The 25,107-nt window shown below is 51.8% G+C and overlaps 1 protein-coding gene across 12 annotated transcripts in view, besides 4 other annotated features; it reads left to right on the forward strand.

The window, feature by feature from the left end:
- Window positions 1–25,107, forward strand: part of MSI2 (musashi RNA binding protein 2) — a 445,731-nt gene that overhangs the window by 373,412 nt on the left and 47,212 nt on the right. For 10 of the 12 annotated variants that reach the window (NM_001322250.2, XM_047435313.1, XM_047435314.1 and 7 more), the window contains one exon: window positions 22,837–22,899. In NM_001322250.2, coding sequence (NP_001309179.1) covers window positions 22,837–22,899 — 63 coding nt within the window. Of the gene's footprint in view, window positions 1–2,528; window positions 3,922–22,836; window positions 22,900–25,107 lie in introns of those variants that run through there. The other 2 variants (NM_001322251.2, NM_170721.2) reach the window with 1 other exon arrangement.
- Window positions 565–664: an enhancer, noted in NCBI's record as "active region_12445". NCBI's record gives its function as "activates an Ori minimal core promoter by ATAC-STARR-seq in GM12878 lymphoblastoid cells {active_cell/tissue: GM12878}" and the evidence as "EXISTENCE:reporter gene assay evidence [ECO:0000049][PMID:35858748]".
- Window positions 9,779–10,581: an enhancer, noted in NCBI's record as "H3K4me1 hESC enhancer chr17:55716402-55717204 (GRCh37/hg19 assembly coordinates)". NCBI's record gives its function as "activates a minimal SCP1, AML or CMV promoter by ChIP-STARR-seq in naive H9 embryonic stem cells {active_cell/tissue: H9 hESC(naive)}" and the evidence as "EXISTENCE:reporter gene assay evidence [ECO:0000049][PMID:30033119]".
- Window positions 14,015–14,164: a silencer, noted in NCBI's record as "fragment chr17:55720638-55720787 (GRCh37/hg19 assembly coordinates)". NCBI's record gives its function as "represses an EF-1alpha promoter that drives an FKBP-Casp9 reporter gene in an ReSE screen in HepG2 liver carcinoma cells {active_cell/tissue: HepG2}" and the evidence as "EXISTENCE:reporter gene assay evidence [ECO:0000049][PMID:32094911]".
- Window positions 19,760–20,569: an enhancer, noted in NCBI's record as "H3K27ac-H3K4me1 hESC enhancer chr17:55726383-55727192 (GRCh37/hg19 assembly coordinates)". NCBI's record gives its function as "activates a minimal SCP1, AML or CMV promoter by ChIP-STARR-seq in naive H9 embryonic stem cells {active_cell/tissue: H9 hESC(naive)}" and the evidence as "EXISTENCE:reporter gene assay evidence [ECO:0000049][PMID:30033119]".

Raw genomic sequence — 25,107 nt, forward strand, 5'->3', positions numbered from 1 at the left:
TACTAAAAATATAAAAATGAGCCGGGCGTGGTGCCCGGCATCTATAATCCCAGCTACTCGGGAGGCTGAGGCAAGAGAATCACTTGAACCCAGGAGGCAGAGGTTGCAGTGAGCCGAGATCACACCACTATACTCCAGCCTGGATAACAGAGTGAGACTCTGTCTCAAAAATAAGAAGAAGAATAAGAAGAAGTAAAAAGAAAATTTCAGTTCCTTTAGAAACACTGGCCACATTTCAGTGACTCAGTAACCATGTGTGGCAAGTGGCTATTGCCAGCACAGAATGTAGAACAGTCACCGTGGAAATTTCTTACGGGCTGGTGCTGTTCCAGTGCCTAAAGGAAGAGGGCTGTTACTGGGGGGTGCACGGTCCACACACTCACACATGCGCACCACTCCTTCCTGGAGACACCCATGGGGTCAGTGTCCCTGTGCTTCATTCTCTGCCAGTCTTGCTCAGCCCAGAAGCTGGTGGCTTTTCCTCTCACTTCCTCCCCTCGCTTCCCCTCCAGGGGATGACAGGTGCAAAGGCTCACGCATCTCGGCCCTCCAGGTGCAGCACTGATCTGTGCACTCAGCCTGCACAACCTGCTCCCCTCCGTAATCAGGCTGCCATTGCCCCTGAGTGTGATGCTAGTCCCAGGAGGACAGAGTTGAGGGATCTTAACATGGAATAATTGGGAGAGGACATCAATGTGGACCCTATGCTAAGGCCCCTGTCTCATCAGAGGGCCTGCCCCGGGGCCCCCATGAGCTGGCTCAGGAGACATCTAGTAGAACTCTGCCTCCATGGCCTGCATCCCTGGGCCTGCCCCAGGCAGACGGACATGCAGCAGTGACCAGATTGAGGCTGGGCAGAGTGAGATAGGGTCCCCTGGGTGCCCAGCCCTTCACCAAAGCCAAGACTTTGGGAACTGGGGGGGCGGGGGATGGACTGGGCTGCAGGAAGGAGGATAGAGTGGGGTTGGAGTGTTTTTGCCCAGGGCCCATCCGTTTGTCATGGCCACAGTCCCTGCAGCTTAATACAATCAGGTGGGTTTGAATGGGACAGAAATCAGGCATTACAATGTACAGACAGCAGCTTCCTGACCTTTGGGAGTTAGCTGCCCTGTTCTCAACCATCAAACTTTTATTTTTCCATCCTTCCCACCTTCCCACTCACTATGGAAGCCTCTTGATTCTCTTAACTAATGGCCAGAAAGGGGCCACCAGTGGCCACAAGAGTAAGGTTGCCTGCTCTCAGGGAGGGCAAGAGTGGAGTGGCCCTGAACTGGGAAGGGTGGCCCCATGGCTGGGGCCGCCCACCCCACTCATCTGAGAAGCCAGGCTAGGGTCAGAGTCTATTCCCCTCCTGACCCCCTCCCAAAGGATATGCTCCTTGTGGAGTGTTGGGTCTGTGCTTATCCCAGATGCCTCCCCAAGCAGCCAAATGTTTCCAGACACAAAGCCTAGGTAGGTCCATGTGTCATTCCAGTCAAGAGCGCAGGGAGTAGCTGAGCCCCTCTAGAACCAAACTTGATGACTCCTGGAGCCACAGCCTCAGGGCCAGGGCTACAGAGAAGCTTCTGGATGCCCTGACTTCCATCTGTCACCTCATGCCAATAAGGAAAGTTTCGGGTGGATCTGGCCGAGGCGGCTGGGGTACAGAAGGGGGACCCAGAGATGGGGCAGCCCAGCCCTCTGCCCTCTCCTCATCCCCATCAGGTAGATTCTGCGAACCCCTGCCATGCCCCGGGGATCCTGTGACTTCGTGACATTACACAGCAGTCATGTCACCTCCCAACTATCCTGATGTTTTCTTTGTGGTCTTTCTTTTCAGTGTCCTCACTGTATGCCCACTTTACCCACTTCCCACCTCCGGTCCCCCTCATGCTGTGCATGGATCCCGAACCTCTCCCAGCCCCTTTCTGAGTCCCCCTAGCAGGGCCATGCAAGACAGCTAGCTGGGAGAAATGAAAGCACGCCCAGGTCCTAGAGAGCTCCGAGACTCTTCATCCTGGCTGTTCTCACTCATAAACCAGGTAGCCTGGGTCCCCTTTCAGGAAGATGCAATCTGATCCCCTTTATGAAGGGTCCTCCTTTCCACCTGGACTTACCCTTTCTATGAACATCCATCTCATCTGGTTGGGGGTGCAGATATCACTCTTAGTAGAGCCTCATTCTCACCATGTGACATGGGGCTGCACGGACCTTCCTGGGCCACACAGCTGGTGGCAAGTGGCACCTGGCTGTGCCCATCTTCAGAATTCTGTCAGAATAAATGTTCCTAGAGAAGGCTAGACACTGGATAGTTTTTAGAGTGGGGAGTAGTTCTTTTCTAGAAAGGCTGGGTGGTGACCAACCACTCTGGGAACAGCTCCTTCTTCCCACATCCAGGTGTCCACCCCAGCCTGGAATTTGGATCAGGATCCCGTCTTGAATTATTATGGGTTGTGATCAGGGATCTCCCCTGCTTCCTCTCTTTTCCCCACTCTGGACTTCTCATTTCAGTTTAATCTGTTAATTTCTGTTCTTATTTCACTTTGCAGACTATTTGCCGGTTTCACAAGACATAATTTTTATCAACTAGCTCTTAAGAGAGGCATAGCAAAGTGGGGGTTGCTACCATTTCTAGAGAGAGAGGACACAGTCCCGGCCTGGGCTGCCCCCGCTCCAGTCAATGCTCACTGAAAGTCTGTCTTAGCTGCCTGTTTGAATGACTGTTCTTTTTCTCATTTTTAATTCTTGGACTCATGTCCTCATTGCTTCACTCAATTAAAAAAAAATTATTCTCCAGTCCCCTCCCACTTTGCTTCTTGTATGCATTGTGACCGACCCCACTTCCTCAGAATGTAACGGGGCCAGAGGGAAACTTCTCACAAACTTCGTAGAGCCTCCTCAGGGGAAGCTAGGAAGAAGACATCAAATGTTTTTAAGTCATGACCAAACAGGCTTGTTGGGGACATATCATGGGGTGAGCTTTGAAGTGCTGGTGGTCCAGAGGGGTTGCAGATACGTGACTTGGAGCACCCGTGTCTTACGATGGACAGTGATAAAGGTGAACACACAGAGACAGACTATTCTCTAAGAATGTGAGAAACCTGATCTGGAAGAGGAGCTATATAAACACTATCTGACTATCTTTGTCTTTTGGGGCCAGTGGCTGTTGGCATAATCACAAGCCTGTCTGTCTTCGAGAAGGGACAGTGGAGTCATCCAGGTGCTGCCACATGACAGGCACGGTGGGCACCGATCCACAGTGGGCCCCGCCTTCCCCAGCTCGCCTCCCTGCCTGTGCTGGCCTGGCCTTGCCTGCTGGCACCATTGGAGTAGGAGGGGGTGGAACACAGGGGGCCCATCCTGATCAGGCCCCATCTCAAGGTTGGCACTCCTGCCCATCACCCTTAGAAGGATCTTTTCCCATGGCTTGACTTCCTTCATTTCCCTAACTGAAATACACCCACTCTCTTGGAATAATGACGTACCACTCAGTTGGACCCTCAAGAGTCACTGCTTTGTCTGTGCTGGTAGTTTGTGAGAAGTGACCCGCACGCTTCCATTTGATGCATTTGATGTGAGTGAATCCATACATTTGAATGTCATTGTCCTTGAGACCCTACATGTGCAGTTTGGCTCATCTCATTAAAGATGCTTGATGTAATAATTGGTTAGTTTCCTTTTATTTTCCTGCAGGCTTTTCCATGAGTATTATTTTTTTCAAAGAACAAATCTGTATGGCTTTTCCCCATCTCCATATTTTGTTTTGCTATGAATTGCTTTGCTTTGGTGAACTTGTCCTAGTATGCTTGCCTCACAAACGTTTTAGCCATTGTGAATTTTCTTCATCTCTGTAAATAGTTCATCTGTGCTTCTCCCTGATGACGTTTTATTTTTTTTCCCCTGTAAGCAACCGAGGTAGAAAAATAAATTGTTTACCATGGACATACTGTGTGCTGCCGTCTCTTAGCCTGACAGTGTCCTGTTCTCGCTCCGGGGGAGGTGAATGCACTGAATAACCAGCACCGATGACAGCCTAGTGCAGTTTCTAAAAGCATGCGAACTCCCCCTGGCTGCCGCCTGTTCCCAGCCCTCCCTGCCTCCTGGCATCCCCTGTACTTGCTTGAGGTGGTCTGTCCTTGAGCAGAGTGGCAGAGCATCTGCATGCGCCAGCTGCACAGTATCGCCCCGATGCTCCTTCCTCCGCCACGGCTCCCCTCTCAAGTGAAAATGCCACACACATCTGGAGCCCCTCACATCTGTGCACTAGGTGTGTGCGCCGTCTTACCCTCGCGCCCACGGGCCTGTGTGTGGTTGTGCACGTGGCCTGCTTTCCTGACTCCCCAGAGCACTGCAGGCAGAGGAGGCACCAGTGGACAGTGGGAATGTTCTTGGATATGAAGCCGGAGGACCTGGTTTCCAGGTCCCACTTGGCCACTTAGTAGCCATGTGGCCTTGAGCAAGTCATGTATCCCTCCAAGCCCTGAAGATGATGAAAGTGCCTAGTTAGTTGAGTTGTTACAATTAAGGGATAACATGTGCATGAATGTGCCTTGTAAGTTGGTAAATGCTATAAAATTGGAAGTTTTAGAAATAGTGGGCACTGATGTTCTTACTAAGTCAGCTCTCCAGAGTGGTTTTCCCATTTTTATCCCCCATGAGGGATCTGTCATCAGTGAAAGGAATGATACAGGATTCCTACGTGAAGCTAGAGACTTGCTAGGACTTCCTCCCCACCGTCAGGCCCCATCCTTTCTCTTCCCTCCTTCCCTCTCTTCCCTCTTCATTTTGCTATCACCAGGTACTGAAATAGGTACCAGACATCTGGACATGAATAAGACTGACTCCTTCAGATGCTTTTGGGCTACCCAAGGGAGAGAGAAGCAGTGATAAGACCAATTGAACATCATGAGACAGGCACTTCACTAGAGAGAGGGAAGCTCTGGCCAGGCGTAGTGGCTCACACCTATAATCCCAACACTTTGGGGAGGTCGAGGCCGGTGGATTGCCTGAGGTCAGGAGTTCAAGACCAGCCTAGCTAACATGGTGAAACCCCATCTCTACTAAAAATACAAAAAATAGCCCGGAGTGGTGGCGGGTGCCTGTAGTCCCAGCTACTTGGGAGGCTGAGGCAGGAGAATCGCTTGAGCCTGGGAGGCGGAGGTTGCAGTGAGCTGAGATCACGCGGTTGCACTCCAGCCTGGGTGACAGAGTGAGACTCTGTCTCAAAAAAAAAAGAGAGAGAGAGAAGCTCTCTATGCTGTAAGGGTGCAAGGGTGGGCTGCTTGTTCAGAGTGCCCTCTAGAGAAGGTGACACCAGAACTGGGTCTCAAAAAGCCAAATAGAATTAGCCAGGTAAAGAAGGAAAGGAAGTATATCCCAGACAGAGAAATGACATGCTTAGACATTGAATCAGATAGTTTTAAGAAAGAAGAGAAACACAAAAGTAATAAGACACAAAATAATAATGGACTAAACAAAATAAGAATTCATTTATCTCTCATGTAAAAGAAGCCTGGATGTGGCTCCATAATACTCATGGTCTGGGTTTCTTCTCTACTCTCATTCTACTCTCTTCAGCATAAGACTCCACCTCATAGTCTAAGAAGGCTGCTCAAACTCCAGCCATCACATGTTCATCCCAGAAGACTACATCTCTTCCCTTTAGTAATGCTTCCTATAAGTCATGCAGGACATTTTGCTTAGATCCCATTGGTCAGAACTTGGTCACATGACCAGTTTCAGCTGCCTGGAAACCTCAGAGGTGTCTTTTTTCCAGGTAGCCATGTGCTCAGATAAAAATAAAGGATTTTGGTACTAAAAAAGCAGAGTGGAACGGCTACTAGTAGACACTTAGCAATTTCTGCTACATACCTGAGAGAGGAAACATTGCAGGTCCCAGGGACTGTGAGTAGTTCAGTGCACAGGGAGCTTGCAGAAGCATCTTGGGTGGGAGGAGATCTACAAGGCTGGAGCCATGGTGGCCTCCTGAGTCAAGTTTAGGAAGTTAAATTTGATCCCCAAAGCACGTGAAGTACTTGGAGATGATTTCACATACAGAAGTGATGTGGTCGAACTTCCATAGTGAGTCAGAGGGGTTTGGAGAAGTGGGAGGCCATGAGGGTGAGTCTGGAGGATTGTCCCTTCTCTCTGCACCCCATCTCCTCTCCACCTCATCCTCTCTTGGCTCCATCCCTCTCTCCCTGCGTGGGGCTGGCTGGTGGTTCTTTGAGCCCTGCAGTTCTATGCAGTTCTATGGCCCTAACCGCCAAAAGGCCTCTGGGCCAATATTTTGGCAACCAACAGTAGCCTCAGCCACAGAGCACTCGGGGTGGCCAGGAGGCCAAGCTAACGTGTCATGGCTTGGTGCCCAAACCTCCCTCCCAGGATACTGTGTGCAAACGGCAGGGGCAGCACAGCTCCCCAGGCAGGGAGACCCTTCCCCAGCCTGCTGAGCTTGAACTCTGGTTATAAAAGTGCCAGTTTGTGCTCCTACCTCTTCAGCAACGGAAAACAGGTTTGCTCTCGGGTCCTGATGCTGACTGATGAGCACTGGATTCCTGGAGCACTGGCTTCAGAATGATGTTGAGGCCAAGTCCTAGCTCAGCAGAAAGGACGGCTGTGATTAGCGATGTGGCCGATTGCTGTACCAGGAAGGACTCACGGCCTGTCTGCCATGTAGCTTGCCTTCTATATTCCTGTCCAATGATGGTTCTTCGGCGCCAGGTGATTTTCCATCACTCTAAAAGATACGTGGGGGAGTGGGGAGGGTTGGTGTCTGAGGAGAGGGATCTGCTAGCTCAGGGATATCCTGTTCCTCTGGAGGGAAGCCGCTGTAGTCCATTGTCTGTAGGGCTGCTTGCAAGGTAAGCTTCAGTCAAGTCATCAGGTCTTTGAGCAAAGGCAGAGGCTTGTGGTCCGTCTTAGCCTGAGGGGTAGGGCTTGGATGTGGAAATCAGAGTGAAGGGGTCCAAGTTCTCAGGAGGTGGAGGAGCTGGCGTTAGCAAGGTGACCGAGAGAGAAGCCTTGGCCATAGGCAAGGGGCTGCATCCTGAACCTGCTGTCACTCACCTGCCAGATCTGTCTGGTCATTGACATTTTGCAAAACATTCAAAAATGCTGCAGCTGCCATGCTCAAGGCCTAGGACCCTGGCTGGGAGTGGTAACCTGGGCCACCGGGGGGAGCAACTTCAGAGCCCTTCCATCCACCCCCTCCTCTAGCCCACCCAAGTGGCAGAGACCTCTGCGGTCAGTCCCCACTCAGGAGAGGCGAGACCCCGGGGTGCGCTCAGGGAGCTGCTTCCTGCCTTGGCGTCTCCTGTGTCCTGCTCTTTCTGGCCTAGTTCAGTGAGAGCACAGAGTTCCCCTCCCCAGGCTCTGTAATCTTGTCTGCGGAGGCGATTCCAGGCTTGCCTGGACGGCCCCTCATTTTCCTGTAAGTTGAAACTCCCTCTTTCCTCCTGCTTCAGTTTTTAAGGGACTGTTTCCTCATCTCCTGCCCCAGAAATGCCCTCACTAGGACCCCTGACAGACCCTCAGGCTCTGCCTGGTGCAGTGCTTCTGGTTGGCTTCCAGAATGGAGCCCAACCAGCGAGCAATGGCTGGTTTCTTGCTAGTAGGGACACAGATCTTGAAATATCAAGACAGGCTAGTCAGTTTCCCAGGTAGGCTGCCATAAGCATGGACTCGTGCGTCCAGGGACCCCAGCTAGATGCTGCAGCACTGTAAACAGAAATGCTCCCTGTCAAGAAAAGCCCTCCTGACACAGCAGCCCCCACACATCTGTCTCATCACCAGCCCTCTAATCTGAACATCCCTTCAGCCCTTGAGCCTCGTCTCTGGGGATTACCCCTTCCCAGATTAGATCCACAGCCAGATTTCAAATCACAAGCGAGCTCCCTCATGGCCAGCCCACTCCTGCGCCACCTGGCCCTGTGTATACTTGGGGCCTATCCTCTCATTTGAATATTAAAGGCAAGCTTAGACAGGAAAGCATGTCTGCTGCTTTAAAAGAAGACAGAGAAGTAAAATTCAGTGGCACACCCCAAACCCAGACCGACCGCGGCACGAGGCTCGTCGGGGCTGTGGATATGTTGCCACGTTCCTCCCTCGGCGTGGAAAATCAGGAGTTGACTCTATTCCCAGATGAAAGCAGAGCACGGTGCCTAATAGGCACTTAATAAACGTTTGCAGAAATGAATTGGAGCAATCTGAATTGACGAGAATTGTGGGTTTCACTTCCGATCAGCTTTCTGTGCCTCTTGAAGCTCCTCTGCATAAATAAACGGAAATGTGACTAAGTGAGCGCTCAGCTCCCCATGGCAAAGCCCAGAGCCCCGTGTCCTCAGGCAGGAAGCCAGGATACTGAGTTCTTGCCCTTAGCTTGCCAGGAAAATAAGGCCATCTCTAGGCCTCGGTTTCCCCATCTGTCAAATCAGGCTATTGATCCTTCCTCACAGGTTGTTGAGAGGGTTAGTCGGACCGGGAATGATCTAGTGCTTTAGAAAAGGTTAGTGTCATGACCAAGGAAGGCAACCCGGCCCAAGGAGCAGAGGGCCCCGCCAGCTATGGCAGGATGGCAGCAGCTACAGTGAGGGAGGCTGCAGGTGACCCCACACCTCGTCCTCTGTGGACTGAGGCCCCGTGCCCACCAGATCTCATTTTCCTCCACTCCCCACCTGCTTAGGTCCCTGTACCACCAGCCTTGCAAAGTCCCCATTAAGTCTGCTAGCAGGAACTTAATCACCTTTCTTCAAGCCCTTCAGTTTTCATTTCCATCAGCAAAAACACGTGAAAGGCTGCAACTTAAAAAACAAAGCAACAACGAAAAACAGAAAATTACTCAGCATGTGAAATTCTAGGCAAAGAGCAGTGCCAGGCCTGAGGTTCGGGTAGCTGGTGCCTTCTGGCAGCCAAGGACAAAGCAGAAGGCAAAGATGTGTCCCCCCACCCTCTCCTCTCCAGGCTGAAAGGAATCCTGCACAGAGACTTTTTTGCAGAGCCCAGGTCAGCTTGAATCCCCTGCCCCTGAGAGACCCCACCCAGCTGGGTCACTGCCTCTGCTCTCTGTCACTTCAGTTGGGGCAAAGGCACATTCTCTGCAGAGAGCTGGAAATGGTCATCAGCACCCGACCCGAGACAGGGCCTCCTGGGGCACAAGTTGCTGAGCAAGGGTGCAAGGAATTCAGAGCCTGAAGGAGCATCCCACGTGCGGCCAGATGTGTTCCTGAGTGATTGGAGCAGCTGCACAGGGTACAGAGGGAGCCGTTGACTCTGCTGGACAGCCTTCAGGAAGGGGTGAAAACTTAGTCCATTCTGGTGACCGTAATAGAACACCATAGAGTGAGTTGCTTATAAAAAACATAAATTGGCAAGGCACGGTGGCTCACTCCTGTGATCCCAACACATTGGGAGGCCAAGGCGGGAGGGTTTCTTGAGGCCAGGAGTTTGAGACCAGCCTGGGCAACATAGTGAGACTCTGTCTCAACAAAATATTTAAAAAATATTTAAAAAATTAGCCAGGCATGGGGGCACACACCTGAAATCCCAGCTACTTGGGAGGCTGAGGCGGAAGGATCACTTGACCCGAGAAGTTCAGGGTTATAGTAAGCTGTGATTGTGCCACTGCATTCCAGCCTGGGTGACAGAATGAGACCCTGTCTCAAAAAAAGAAAACATAAAGTTATATTTCTCACAGTTCTGGAGGCTGGGAAGTCTAAGATCAAGGTACCAGCAGATTGGACATCTGGTGAGGACCACTTCCTGGTTCGTAGACTGCCATTTTCTTGCTCTGTCCTTTCATGGTCAAAGAGGTGGCCAGCTCTCTGGGGTCTCTTTTATAAGGGCACTAATGCCAATCATGAGGACTCCACCCTCATGACCTAATCACCTTCCAAAGGCCCCACCTCCTAATATCATCACCTTGAGAGTGAGGATGTCAACATATAAATTTTGGCAGGGACATAAACATTCAGACCATAGCGGGCAACATCCGAGCCGAGTTTTGGAGCACGCACAGAAGTTCGCCAGGCAGATGATGAGGGAGGGTATTCCACCTAGAGGGCCAGCAGGAGGCCCAAACACATGATGTGTCTTCCCTCCCTCGCATTCCTACCTCCATGGATTCCCCATCTGGGCAGAGACTGTCCTAGTACTTGGGCTGAGACAGCTGGACAATAGGTTTTGGCATTGGGAAGCCAGTGCCACTCTTCTCAAACCCAGGGAATCCCGGACACATGCTTTGTGAGCCGGGGATGCTGACCCCACCTGTGCCATAGGAGGCTGTTCCCCGACTGGGGCCTTTATGCATACGGCTGTGCAGCCCCAGTGGGCTCTGGATGCCAGCTGGCCAGGGCTGGCTGCCTTTGAGGTGGGAAAGGGAGAGGCAAGTGTAGCCTCCTGTTCCTTCCACTGAGGTCCTGCTGCCCCACCCTGAGTCTGAGCAGATGCTTGGCTGCCCCCAGGGCACGCCTGGTTTTGCAGGGAAAGGTGTGAGGCCAGCCCCACAGTTCCCTTAGTGGGGAACCTGCTTAGGGATTCTACAGTCTTTCTCCTGAAACCCAGGACCAGCTTTGAAGGTGCTGGGATTCAGGTAAGGCCAGGAGCACCTCTCCCCATCCCCCTGTGTCTATCCTGCCTCCTCCACCCATCCATCTCTCCATCCTTCCTTTAGGTGTTTAGCGTATAGTCACCAAGCACTATGTCACAGGCCCTGCCCTAGATGCGGGGGACACAGTGGTGAATGAGAGGTGGGCCCCTGCCTGCTTGTTGGGAACAGAGCAGCAAACAGGATTCCACTCTGGTGGAAGGACCCAGGAAGGCTCCTCTGGTCCAGCCCCTCCTAGAGGAGGTGGGGGGAGCTGGGCAAGACCCTGTTTCAAGGGCAGCACATCAGGGCAGGAGGGCACTGGGAACCATCAGTCCAGCTGACCAGCACAAGCACTGGGGCTCCAGGCTCCGCATTCATGCCTGTGGTGACCACCTCACAGGGCGATGGCCACCCCAGCTGCTTCTCCCTGGCCCTCCGCAAGCCCTTGCCTCCTGCTGTCAGATTAACCCGCCAGAGTTAAGCTCGCACTTCAGATAAGACATACCCCATCACTCACAAGCGAATTATCAATGTTATCTATTAAAGCCCTTTGGATGTGAAATGCCATGTAAATTAATAGGATTTTAGAATAGGAAGGCACCAAAGGGATTTCTCAGCTCCGCTACAGTTATTACCTTGGGCAATAATAATAAAAATAGAAATAAATGTTATTATTCCACTTACCAAGCAACAGATAACCGTGCTGAGCGCCCAACGCCATCATCTCACTGAATCACTGATCTTCACTGCAGCCCTAGGAGGAGGTGTCATTAACTGGGTTTTACAGAGGAGGAAAAGGAGGCAGAGAGGGAAGTTAAGTAACTTGTCTTGGGTCCGACAACTAGTTAAGTGTGGGAGATGGGATTTTAACCACCGTTGTGTACTATTTTCTTTAACCTCTCTGGACCTAGAATTCTTCATCTATTAAATGGGAATAGTAATGTCTTTCTTGTGGTGTTATAGCAAGGACTCACTGAGATGATGCAGGGACGCTCTGTGGCCATGAAAAGTGCTCAGATGGTGGCTGCTGTTGTGTTATCATTAGTGTAATGACTATTTTCTCATCATCAAAACCAAGCTCTTCCATTTTACAGGTGAGGAAAGTAAGGAATAGAGAAGGCCGTCCTCCCATCCACCTTTTCAACAAGGGCTAGAGTGTAGTGGTATAAACTACTGGCTGTTGACATTTTTAGGTATTTCTATACTAGCTGGTAAATGGCTGCTGCCCTGAGCCAAAGTTCCTCCCCACCATGCTGGGCTCTCCCCTGAGACTCCCTGACTGCTCCACAGTCTAGCAGTAAAAGGGTTGGTGGTGTCTGCCCTTCAACATCTGAAACAACGTCACTCAGGAGACAGAAGTGGTGGAGCATCTAGGGGAGGGAACTTAAGATCACAGATGTTCATCTAATCACTGAGCTAGTGATGGGGCCAAAGTAGGAAACCTGGAGTTTTTCAGCAAAAAAAGTCGGAGCGCTCAAGACTTGAGCGTTTGCTGTCCTGGTTGGCAGAGGTGAGGGCCACTGGACTGGGGTCTAGGATCCTGCTGTGGCGGATTCATTGAAAAAGCCCACGTGACATGAAGCTGGGGAGAAAGCAGGCATGGAGAAGGAACCCAGAGAGAGTGTAAGATTTCAGGGGCTCAGCAAGAGACCCTGTTGGAAGGAAGCAAAACTGTGACTCTTCTGGCAGTTGGGTGTCTGAAGTTTTGGGTACAGGGAGAAGTGTAAAAAGCATCGGAACAGGGAACTCTGGAAGGATCAATGGTCAGAACATTCGTAGTTTGTCCTGACACTCATTGGTGGTAGATGAGAGAGTGGCTCAAAATCAGAAATTGCCATTGTTATGAGAAGTTAGGGAAGAGGAGGGTGTGATTGGAAAGAAAAACTGTCAAGATAGTTTGTTGATGCCTCTTTTGAAGCTAGAATCCCTTCACTTTGAAGGTCTCAGTCTGGGTCTCAGAAAGATAGGCAGATAGATGTTTGTTCTGTGGGGAAGTGGGTGTCCCTGGCCTATTGAGGAGCCACAGGCTGCTGGCACAGGGTAGCAAGGGCTGGCTTCAGAATAAACTCCATGTGGACATTCTCTCCCTTGAAGTCCTGCTGGCCAGAGAGTGACGCTGAACCAAGTGTCCTTGTAGGGCTGGGGGCCAGCGTCGGAGCCCTTGTAATGTGTCAGCCATTCTTGATGCTAGCTGTCTGGCCAGCACTGCAGCAAAATGCACATCATCCCCAAGGCCCTGGATGGTCAGGCCAATGATGCCTGAGGCTGGAACTCTCCAGGGCCTCTGAAGTCAGGGATCTGTCCCCTGCCTCCACCTCAATGGGTAGTAACTAGAAAGAATTACTTGTGTCTTGGTCATGTGTCCAGGGCCCAGCTCAGTAGTTTTTTTTAACTGAATTGAATCAAAGTGGTGAGACCTTTTGGGGGTAGGTCAAGATCATAGCTATGGCAATACCTCCATTTTCTTTCTCTCTTGCCACTTGATCTTGGAGAAAAGGATTCATTGGAATGGCCACTCCTGCACTCCCATCTCTGAGGACTGAGTCTTCTGAGTGCTCTCTCTATCTTCAAGTGGCATTTGGTGTAGCCACGCCCAGGTCCTTGAGCTCAGCTAGAAGACCCTAGAGCAGACACAGCCAATGCCTGGTTCCAACCTAGAGGGGTCCAAAGCACAGGTCCCCCACCTTCTTCCTGGAAGAGTGAGCCACGGCCTCCTTTAGCCCAGGCCCAGCTTACCATTAGCCAGTTGTCTCTCCTTGGGCAGTTGATCTGTGTGCAGCCTGTCCTGGGACCCCAGTCCCATAAATAGAGCCCCTTTGCTGTCCACAGCTAGCAACTCTAAGCTCCATGAGGGCAGAGACTGTATGTTGTTCACTGCTATGATTCCAGTGCTTAGAACCGAGCTTGGCCTGTAGCAAGCACTCAGTATTTACTGGGAGGGCACAGGGCTGAGAATGGGTCTTGAGTTATCAGTTCTGCTGCAGCTCACTGCGGAAGTTCTGGGTGACTGCATGCAGGTACTGAATGCTAGGCCCCAGCCCTCTTTGGGGAGGGATTTAGTGATTCAGCGGTAGAATGGGCCCAGGGAGAAGGCTACTGGGCCAAAGTCCCCAAATAGAGCTTTCTGCTTCCTGCCCCCTGAGAGAGTCGCAGGACACAAACTACCTACTGCAGTGTTCTGAGCTCCAGCTGCAAGTTGGAATTCCCAGGAGAGCTTTGGCAGTTTCTGTTGCCCTGGTTGCACCTCAGACAGATTATATCAGAATCTCAGGAGGTAGGGCCCAGGTTGTATTTTTCAAGCTCCACAGGGGATTTCTGGCTGCAGCCCAGGTTGAAAAGGTACCCTACTGGAAGAGGGGAGGCAGGAGGAATTTCCGTGGAATTCAGCTGTGGGCCTGGAGCACCCCCTACGAGTGGGATGAAAATGCCCCCTCTCAGAGAGACTGGAGGAAGGCGTGAGCTCTCCCTCCGCAGCCCAAGACACCACGTTCTGTTGTGGAGACAGGTTGAGGTTGAGACCAAAGCCTATTCTCAAGCCGCAGAATCTGTTTGCCAAAAACAAGATCCAGTGTTGCGAAGGGCCCCGCTGTGGGCAGGCAGGGAGAGGTCTCTCCCTACTCCTGGTCCTCTGCTGGGTCAGTGGGGTGGGACAGGTGCTCCGCTGTGTTTCCTGAGTGCTTCCCAGTTGCAGGGAACCTGCGGACAGACACACACCTTCCGCTCCTGGCTGGGCCCCCTGGTTCCGCACTTGCCTCTTCTGAGGATTTCTCTGTTGCTTCCCAGGGGTGCTGCCTAACTTCTATTTTATGCTTCCACAAAGCCATTCATCCAGTCAGAGGTGTCCTGACAGAAACACTTTCTGAAACCTCAACAAAGGTTTGACATTGCGATGCACCTTCCTTTTAGTCCTATCAGTCTGAAGAGTTACATACATATCTTTTTTAAAATTAAGCTAAACAGCAGTTGTATTAAAAATTATCTGGGGCACTTTTGTGCCATCCCTGTGTTTTAGGAACTAACACCCTTAGGGCTCTTGACTGCAGGACCTCTCTCCTTTAGGCAACAGGACCAACCTGAGCCACCAACCTCTCACCCTTCCCAGCAGGCAGGCCTGGCCTTCACATTTGGCCCCTCTCCGGAGGGACAGATGACAGGTTCCACGTGCCTGTCATTTTCCCAGCTGCAGCTGAGGGCGAGACATTGCCCCCCCAGGCCATACACTCACTCCCCAGCACCCCCTTCCCCAACCAGCAGCCGCAACCTTCTCTGTCTGGGGGTCCCCATGGGAGTGATGTGTTGGTACCCTTGGGAATGTCAGGCTTTCTCCCAAAAAATATGTGTTTAAAACAGATTCCTATTTTAAATGCCAAGGACGCCAGGGTAAGTTGTTTTTTTTTTTTTTTTTTTCAAATGGAAATACATCTTCCTTCAAATCAAAATGTGACAGTCTGATCATGTAAGTGTGTCCCTTTGGTTATCAATTGTTCCTCCTCTTTGCACCCCCTGTTCTGATGTGAGTCCCTTGGTCCTCCCACTCCAAACATGTGCCATCCACCTTTTTTCCACTCTCTCCCCTTTGCAGCCTCCAGCCACTGTCTTTCTCTGCACAGAAGTCAGGGCTGTGGATTTCCTTGAAAAGAACCAGCCCTGTCGCATCAGGCTGGTCTGCCCGGGAGGTGGGAGCATCCTGGGCCAGCCAGGATGACAGATGGCGGTGTTTCCAAACTCTCGTAGGACATGTTTCCTACATTCTGGGTGACAGTTTCTTCTTTTGCTTGCTTATTTTTTAGTGTTTGGATTCGGTGAAGCAACATTGGGTTTAGCCAAGAATGTTTGAACCATCTATAGAAATTGCTGCTGGGGAGATGCAAGCATGCTGGGGAAGGGGGTGGAGAGTGCTTTAAGTAAGCACAACATAGGAAAAATTGTTTCATAATGGACCATTCGGGGCCGGTGATGCATATTACAAAAGAGTCTTTTATAAAGATTCCCCTTAATCACACCTATTCAAGCCAGAAGGAGCCTCAGAATTCTCTCATCTCCTCCTTTGAGAGAGGCACAGAGGGGCCACTGACTCATCCAAGGTCACCAAAATAAGTAGCAACTGGGCCAGAACCATACCCCAGGCAGTCCACTCCCAGACCAGTGTCTTCTCAGACCAAGAAGGGGAGAGGAGGCAAAGAAAAGGGTTCATGACGTAATACTCCCCAGCCCATGGGACAGAGGGCAATACCCTTTCAGTGGTAACTAAAAACAAAGACCCCAAAGCTTCCTCTAAATCAAGGGTTCTCTGCCTACACTGTGCATCAGAATCATCCGGAAGGCCTTTAAAAGACACAGAGACCCGGCTCCCACCCGATTCTGTGGGCAGGGTTGGGGCCAGGGTTAAAGCTCCTCCAGGCTGGACTGAGACCACTGCACCAAGTGGAGACATCGCATTGGCTCTCACAGGGGACAGGCCACAAGAGTTAGCCCCCTGTATTCTCAGGAGCCCCTTTGCTTCTGCAAAGTGGAGGGGCTGGCAGACTGAAGATGTGTGCCATAAATTTACTTTTTACAACCTTGGGCTGTACACTGGGGTCATCTGGGAAGTTTTTTTGTTTTTTGTTTTTTGGTTTTTTTTTTTTGAGACAGAATCTGGCTCTGTCACCCAGGCTGGAGTCCAGTGGCGCAATGTTGGCTCACTGCAACCTCCGCCTCCTGGGTTCAAGTGATAGTCATGCCTCAGTCTCCTGAGCAGCTGGGATTAAAGGTGCCCACCACCACGCCTGGCTAGCTTTTTTTTTTTTATTTTTAGTAGAGACAGGGTTTCACCAGGTTGGCCAGGCTGGTCTTGAACTCCTGACCTCAGGTAGTCCTCCCGCCTCAGTCTCCCAAAGGCATGAGACACCACACCTGGCCCTGGGAAGCTTTTAAAGGTCCCAGTGCCGAGGCTGCTCTGCAGACCAAGTAATCAGAATCGCAGGGGTGGGACCCAAAAATCAGCATTTGTTAAAGCTTTCCAGGTGGGTCCAGTGAGCAACCAGGGTTGAGAATCAGCACCCATACAGAGCAGGGCACTCCCATTTGCCATAGCTGTGTCCCATCTGCTGGATGAATCATGCCCCTGGACCCCTCCAGGGACGTTGAATGTGCCCCCACTGGGGTGGAGGATCGTGGGACTAGGGAGGCTACTTCTTGTAGGCAGTGCTGCCTTTCAGCTGCAGTTTACCCAGAGCAGTGACTCCCAGCCCATACCCTCATCCACTGCATCAGAGCATCCTGACCATCATCAACTGATGCTCATTGACAGTCTTCTGTGGGGAAGACTCTGGGCTAGGTCCTAAGTGGGACATGTGACTGAGTCCCTGCCCTAGAAGAGTTTGTCACCCAGCAAGAGAAATAAGATATGCACACAAAAATAACTGTGCTTAGGTAAGGAAGAAGCTGGTAAGTGCCAGAGAAGCAATAAAAAGTAAGTGTGGTATCATATCATCCTCAAATTCCCCAAAACCCAAAAGCACCATTGACTTCTAATTTGCACTAGATCATCACAACTCCAAAAAGTCCAGCAAAGTGTCTCATCCACTGTCAGCAGGTTGGTGACATCTTTCACTTAGATGAGTCACTAACCCCAGAGCTGTGTTAGCACCAACCTCAGAGGACTTGGGTTTATCATCCTCCTCCCCGCAGACAAGCTCAAGCAAGGTCTGAGATGAAGGGACGTTAGAGGTCATCTTGCCCAACCTCCTTGCAACAGAGAAAAGTTACACAGGGCCCGAAGAAGTGAAGTGTCGTGTCCAATTGCACAGCAAAGCAGGGACAGCCAGGGCTGAAGGCTGGGCTTTGAGGCCAAGGGGGTGATTCTTCTGTTATCCCACTCGAAGGGCAGAGGAACTCCATTCTAGCAAGAATGGGTCTTCGAGTCTGACGCCCATTAAACAAGATGGTTCCCACAAGCCGTGGCCCCTGTTCATGCCTGGAATTCCACCATTAGTGCTTCTTTCTTTTTTAGCCAGACATCCTCGTTTTGAATATAAGGTTCCCAAACAGAGGAGCATAACACATTCCTAGTACCTAAGTTCCAGGTGGTCAACCTATAGCTCTCAGGCCCTCTGAGATTTGATCAGCAAAATGATTTTCTCTTTTCTGCTGGATTTACTAACATATGATAGGTATTAAGCCACTAGGGTCATGCCTGACCCCTTGGCCCACTTGTCATTGTTAGAGCTAAACAGAATGTGTATTCTAATTTTGAGCTATGTTAACTCCACTAAAATGATGCTATGAAGTTGGGATATTATGAAGGATACCAGACCACTGTAATCAATAAGAAATTCAGGCCAGGCACGGTGGCTCACACCTGTAATCCCAGCATTTTGAGAGGCCAAGGTGGGCAGATCACCTGAGGTCAGGAGTTCAAGACCAGCCTGGCCAACATGGTGAAATCTCGACTCTACTAAAAATACAAAAAAAAAAAAAAAAAAAAAAAAAATAGCCAGGAGTGGTGGCACACACCTGTCATCCCAGCTACTTGGAAGGCTGTGACATGAGAATTGCTTGAACCCTGGAGGCGGAGGTTGCGGCAAGCCACGATTGCACCACTGCACTCCAGCCTGAACATCAGAGTGAGACTCTGTCTCAAAAAAAAAAAAAAGTAAAGGAAAAAGAAAGAAATTCAGGCCCCCTGTGTGCTTACTACCAGCTGACCATGGCTCCTACCTTGGAGACAGTGGAACACCCCTGCCTGGTGAAGAGTCCTGTCTTGAAGACAGGGCTGATGCCTGGACAGAGACCTGGTAGGCCTCATCACAATGGCAGGTGTCACCAACATTTTTTTTCTTTTTTTTTTTCTTCGAGACAGAGTCTCGCTCTGTCGCCCAGGCTGGAGTGCAGTGATGCGATCTTGGCTCACTGCAACCTCTGCCTCCCAGGTTCAAGCAATTCTCGTGCCTCCGCCTCCCAAGTAGCTGGAACAGACATGCGCCACCACACCCAGCTAATTTTTGTATTTTTAGTAGAGACAGGGTTTCACTATGTTGGCCAGGCTGGTCTTGAACTCCCGACCTCAGGTGATCCTCCCGCCTCAGCCTCCCAAAGTGCTAGGATTACAGGCATGAGCCACTGCACCTGGCCAAAGAGTGTTTGTTGGTTTGTTTGTTTGTTTGTTTGTTTGAGACAGAGTCTTGCTCTCTCACCCAGGCTGGAGTGCAGTGGTGCAGTCTCGGCTCACTGCAACCTCCACCTTCCAGGTTCAAGTGATTCTCCTGCCTCAGCCTCCCAAGAAGCTGGGATTACAAGCATGCACCACCATGCCTGGCTAATTCGTGTGTGTGTGTGTGTGTGTGTGTGTGTGTGTGTGTGTGTGTGTGTGTGTTTGTAGTGACAGGGTTTTCCCATGTTGGCCAGGCTGGTCTTGAACTCCTGACCTCAAGTTATCGGCCCACCTTGGCCTCCCAAAGTGTTGGGGTTACAGGCATGAGCCACCGCGCCTGGCCTAGCTCTCACTAATTAAGCTAACTCACTGCCAGGCATTCATCTAAGCACTTTGCATATATTAATCCTGCACTAAAATGGTCATCTCCTTTACAGTTGGGGACATCAAGGCAAAGAGAGCATAAGCACCTTGCCCAAAGTCACACAGCTAGTAAGCGGCTGAGCCAGGCATCGAACCCAGACAGGCTCCAGGTCTGCGTGCTCTGCTGTTTGCTGTGCTGCCCTGCCTCAGGAGGAGGAGTCTGGTGGCCCCTTCACACATTGGCCAGGGAAGCTATGTTGAGGAGGGACCCCCCCACCACATTTCCAGCAGTGGAGGGGTGATCATTTCCCACTCTGGGCAGTGGGGTGCTGGGCATCTGTGGGCACCCATGGACCAAGGAGCTCTGCCGCAGCTTTGCTTGGCCCGAGGCCCTATGAAGAAGCCTTGAGCCCTGCCAGACCACCTGCCTGGTTCCCTGCAGTCTTCCCCCAAGCACTCTCTGCTAAGGCAGTCCCCTCCTTGATAACCCAGCCCCTGCTTTCCCAAGGAAGTAGCCTGCCCCAGATGACCCCGGCCTCCTCAGGGCCTGGGGGAAAATGCTGAAGACAGTGCCACGAGGCCACTCTGCCAGGCGTCTCTCCCCTGCATTTCCCAGCCCTCCCAGGTCCAGCCCCAGAGAGTTGTTTCCACCAGGGGCCTCCTGGTCCTCAGGCCCCTCCTGTGTCCTGCGAAGGGCCTGTCCTGGAGACAGCCTGTGCCCTCCGTCACCACAGCCTTAGGCTCAGGCCACCAGGATGTTTCTTTGGCCTCTGGCAGCCCCAGCTGGGGTGCCCCTAGTCCACCCAACACATGCACAACACACATGTACTCAACACACACATCTACATATACCCAACACATGTACACAATACGTACACTCAATATACAACACACACACCCAATACATACATACACTCAACACACACATCCACATACACCCAACACAGGTACACAATACGTACACTCAACAAACACAACACACACAACACATACATACACTCAACACACATCCACATACGCCCAACACATATACACAACACATAACACACATGTACTCAACACACACATCCATACACCCAACACATGTACACAACACATTCAATACACACACACACACATCCAATACATACACTCAACACACACATCCACATACACCCAACACACATACACCCAACAAACACACATTACACACATACACCTGACACACATACACTTAACACATACCCAACACACATACACTTAACACATACACACCCAACACACACACCCCTTGTATCTGTGCTTGCCCATCTCCCGCAAGCCCAGCCACCAAGAAGAGGCCTGGCCCTGGGAACTCAGTATCAGGGGCCTGTCTGCCAGGTCATATGGAAAATGTATTTGGCGGGTGAGGGGTGACTGGTGAGGCTGGATGGCCTAATGGAACAGGAGGGGGATGGCGAGGAGCAGCAGAAGGGGGCCAGGAGGACGGCTGTGCAGGATGCTGGTGCAAGCTCCATCCCTTCCCTACCAGGAGGCTCCCAAGGGGCTAGGCCAGGTTTTGGCAAGGCCCTGGTGTTTCAGATGTAGGGCACAGAGGCAGTGGGGTGGCGACTATGGAGCTGCTGCCCGTGCTGTGTGAGGGACAGATTGGGCAGCCCTGCTCCTTCAGCCCCTCTTCTCACACCCTCCCTCTCCAGGGTGGAGATGAAATTCCAGCCCTCAGCAGTGTCTGATGCTCCACCTCCAGCAGGAGCCTTTATTTGAGATTAAGGATAATGGATTTCCTTTCTTGGATAAGTTTTTTTTTTCTTCCTCTTTCAGACTTTTTGTCCAAAATGCACTCAATTCCAGAAAATGGACCTTTTCTTAACAAGTCTTTATTGACTACACTCCCCTCCCCCACTTCGTTCCTCTTTCCCCCTCCCCCAAGTCTTTCCGTGCTTCCAAGGAAACCCGCTGTTTTCAGCGCATGGTAAGGAGTGCAAAGGAATGACTCACCTGCACCCTCTCCCTCCAGCATCCCCTGGGCCTTGCTCTTAACAGCAGCAGAAGCCTGGGTGTCCTGGGGGTTGGGACAGAGAGAAATAACTTGACTTCTTCCTTGTGTTTCTTCAGCAATTTCTGCCAAGACCCTCATCTTCAGAAATCTAGATGCTGCCTGGAAGAAATGGGGAGAGGACTTGGTTGGGGGTCCCTCCCTTGGTCTCCCTCTCGGTTCATTGCTGCCTTCTGGGGAAGGGAGGGCCTCCAGTCACCATGCATGGTCTCCATGGGAGCTTGGAGACCTGCAGCCAGGGACAACCATACATTTATTTCACCTGGATCTTTCTTTTTCCCCCTTCAACAGCCCTATTACCATATTTAAATGCAAGTATGTCTCTTTTCATTGACATTTTAAGTAGCTTAGCCTGACCTTTTTAGAGTAGCATGTTCCCCCTTTGAACTTCTTTCCCTTCAGTAGTACCGTGTAGCTAGGACAATAGTCTTAGTGTTTAGTGGGCTTCTAGTTCGCTCTGTTTGGGGGAGCTTTGTCTCTGCTTTCTTCCCTCCTCTGCTCCCTGCCCTTGACGGTGCATGTCTTCCTCTCGTCCTGTAGAAATTCCTTGTTTAAAAGGCTCAGTAGCTAAAGTTGAGCAGCCCTGTTGGGGGCTGTTTATTGAGTTTGCGGCTGGCTTCTGGCACATCATTTAAAACCACAGTGATTGGAAATGGGTCTTGGGGTCAGGCCTCCAAGCATCTGCCTGGATGGCAGAGGATGTTTGTCTTTATATGTATGGGAGTGTATCTGTGTATGTCCCAGCACGAGGCTGTGCGTGCACGTGCTGGTGGCTGAGAGAAGCCCAGGGTAGGGAACATGGCATACTTCATCTGGATTCTGCAGCTACAAGAGGTTACCTTGGCCTCCTGACTATTATTCCCGTTGCTGGGACATCCTTGCTGCCCGGTGCATTTTTAGATAGCATAAGCCTTGATCAAGAAGAAATCCAGGGACCCGTAGGAGACCCTCCAGTGCCAGCTTCATCTAGACCGTGGGGCTCAGACCGAAGAGCCACATCTAAATTCCCACAATTGCCTCAGGAGGTTGAAACACCGAGAGATCAAATAAAGCCACAGGGCTCACCCCACATAGACCCCTGCAGCCCCGCACTCCCTTCCCTATCTGGCTCCATGTGTATGCAATCACCTGGGACCCCCCAATGCTTCACCCTCGGGCCTGGGGCTGTGATGCTGCTGACTTCATGTTTTGACAAAAGTCTGGAGTTAAAAAGGCCATGCTAACCTGCAGAGCCTTTGGAGAACAGCTGGAATTAAGCCAGCTCCCGGCCAAGGTGCCTGCTCTGTCAAGAGGCCGTCCCAAGTGCCTCCTGCCTGTGGCACGGGGCTGACCACTCCGCCATGATCTCTGCCAGGAGCAGTGGGCCAGCCCAGCCATGCTCAGTTCTACTCAAGACAACCCCAGGGGAGCCACTGTGTCGATGCACGGCCAACAGGGAGCTCAACCCTGCTTCTCAAGAAAAAAATTCCTCCTACAATTCTTGAATTATTGTTGTGGGCCTTCTAGAACCAGCTTCTGGGGTGACAAATGGGTGAGAATCAAACGCACCTAAAGATGTTGTGCCTTCCGGAAGCCTGACAGCCACTACTCTGTGTCCCTCTCAAAAGCTGCCCTGTGAAAATCCCTTCCCACTCCTGTCTTTGTGTGGAGGGCGGGGGGTTGTGTGGCCCGTGACCTAGGTCTGTGCCTGGCCCTTTCAAGGATTCCTCCATGACTCAGGCTCCTCTCTCTCCTGACCAGGCTTCCCAGCAGCGGCTTATGGACCAGTGGCAGCAGCGGCGGTGGCGGCAGCAAGAGGATCAGGTAGGAAGGTGTATGGGACAGGCGACTCCCAGGCATGCCCCCAGTGTGCAGGGGGAGGTCAAGGCCCTGTCGGATCTGTGTGGCTGCATCTGTCCAACACCACTCTCACCACAGCCCCGGGGAGGGGGTGGACGGGGAGGGGGTGGACCGGGAGGCGCGGGCAAGGCCTGGCCACCCAGGGCACTTGTAGTGGGGTCAGTCACAGTCATGGGACTGCAAACTAAAGGCAGATTATTATTCTCTCCTTGAAAAAAAAAACAAACCTGAGTTTCTTTTTGACTTTGACCATCCCGTCACCTGACAGCTAGCTTCGGGTACCTGTGGTCATTTCCCTCCTTGGCTTTTGCTAATTCAACAGGCTCCCTTCCTTGGGTCCCTGAGCCAGCCAGAGAAGTGCTAGGCTGTCCCCTGGGACCCTGCTGCACTGGTAGGTGGGCTTGCTGGTCTGGCTAAACCCCCAGAGCCCCTGAAAGCAGCCATGGGACCAGCCCTGGGCCTCAGTGAATGAAGCTGCTGTTTCTGGAGCCGCTGTGCCTCCCAGACTCTTCTTAGCCAGACTCCTCAGCTCCAGCTGCCAAGGGAATTGGGCTTTCTGTCCCATGAGGTTGCTCCAGTCCTTCTGTCTCCAAAGCCAACCTTTTGGAGGTCTGGAACCCCTCAAGTGACATGGGAACACTTTCCCAGCATTATCATGGGGTCAGGCCAGAGCTGGGATATGTCCAGGGTGCCCGGGGTCCCTTTTGTCCCTCTCCCCAGAATGCTTTCTGCCTTCCCAGGCAAGCAGGGCTTCTGCTGTGCCCTGGGCTCCCTCCCCACCCCTGCTCCCTGAACTGAGTGGTCATGGTTTGCAGCTCTGTCCCCCCACGCCCCACGGACAGGGCTCTGGAGCACCCAGGGAAGCGCCTAGTTTGATGTCACAGGGCTCTGAGGAGGGTGGGGCTGGGCAGGGTGGGGGGCTGGTGAGGGTACCAGGAAATAGAGCATTAAAAGCCCAGAGGGCAAATGCCAAGAACCCACACCCTGGGTGATGAGAAGTTGGCACAGTGAGGCCCATTAGAAAACTTCAGTAAAAATCCGTTCCATGCAAACTGGCACTGCCTCGAGCTACAAAGGATCCACTCCCCCGAATCATCCCATTGGGGTTTTGTTTGGAGGGGGCTAGGGAGTTCTCAGGGGTTGCCGAGGGTCAGTTTGCCAGAGAGCTAGCAAGTGGGCAGACTGGCAGGCAGGTCCAGAGAGTGGGGCCCCCTTCCTGAGCTTCTGCTCACCACAGCCAGTGTCCAAAGGCCCCACCTGCCCTCTGGCCAGTGTCCCTCAGTCCCCCCAGCCCCGGGCCCCGGGGGCGGGGTGCACAGCTGCCTCGTGTCTCCCTGTGCCATTTGGTTTTTTAACTTGAGTGCTTTTTGGTATCATTATAAACAAGCCTTGGCCCTACCTGTGCCTGGGGTTGGGGAAAAGATAAAAGAAAACTCTTGAGATTTTTGAGTGTTGTTGGTTGTTGTTTTCTCCGTTCAGTTTCTTTCTTTTTATAACTTGGATTATGAAACTAAACTTTAACCCAAAATTAACCCTGCCTCTCTCCCCACCCCACCCCGTTCTCCTTGACTTCATGGCAAGTTTAAAGGGCAGCATGGGGTTCTTTATGAGTCTGAGAGCCGTCTCCCACGGTCTGTGCCCCCTTCTGCCACCCTACCCTCTCATGGACTCCCAGAGCCAGGTGGGAGTCCCACCCATCCCTCTAACTCCTAACCCCCAAGGTCATCTCCAGTCACACATTTTTTTTTTTTTTTCGGGATCAATGGTGTTTGATTTGTAGCCATTTCCATCAGGAGCAAAGTCTCTCCCAGCCCATTCTAGGTCAGCCATGCTCATCGCTGCACTGTTAGTGAACTGTATTCAGGAGTGTGCTCCCAGACCACCTGCCCACACCAGCCTGGGTTAGCGCAAGGAGTAAATCCTCAACTCCGAGGTGCCCGCCCCGCCCCACAGGGTGCAGGGTCAGCCTGGAAGCTACAGGGCAACCCTGCAGTGCTGCCGGGCAGGGTGTGTCAGGGGCTTGGGATGTGCCCCAGGGCAATGACTAGACTGTATCCACCATAGTGAGAGCGCTGCCTAGGCAGGAAGACACTTGCCTGTGTGTAGCCAGGCTACCCTAGTTCCTCAGCCCCACTTTGGACCTGGAACAGGGTTACAGGTTTGGGAAAGGAA

This window comes from Homo sapiens, chromosome 17 (genome assembly GCF_000001405.40).
Source record: "Homo sapiens chromosome 17, GRCh38.p14 Primary Assembly".
NCBI classification, from domain to species: Eukaryota; Metazoa; Chordata; class Mammalia; order Primates; family Hominidae; genus Homo; species Homo sapiens.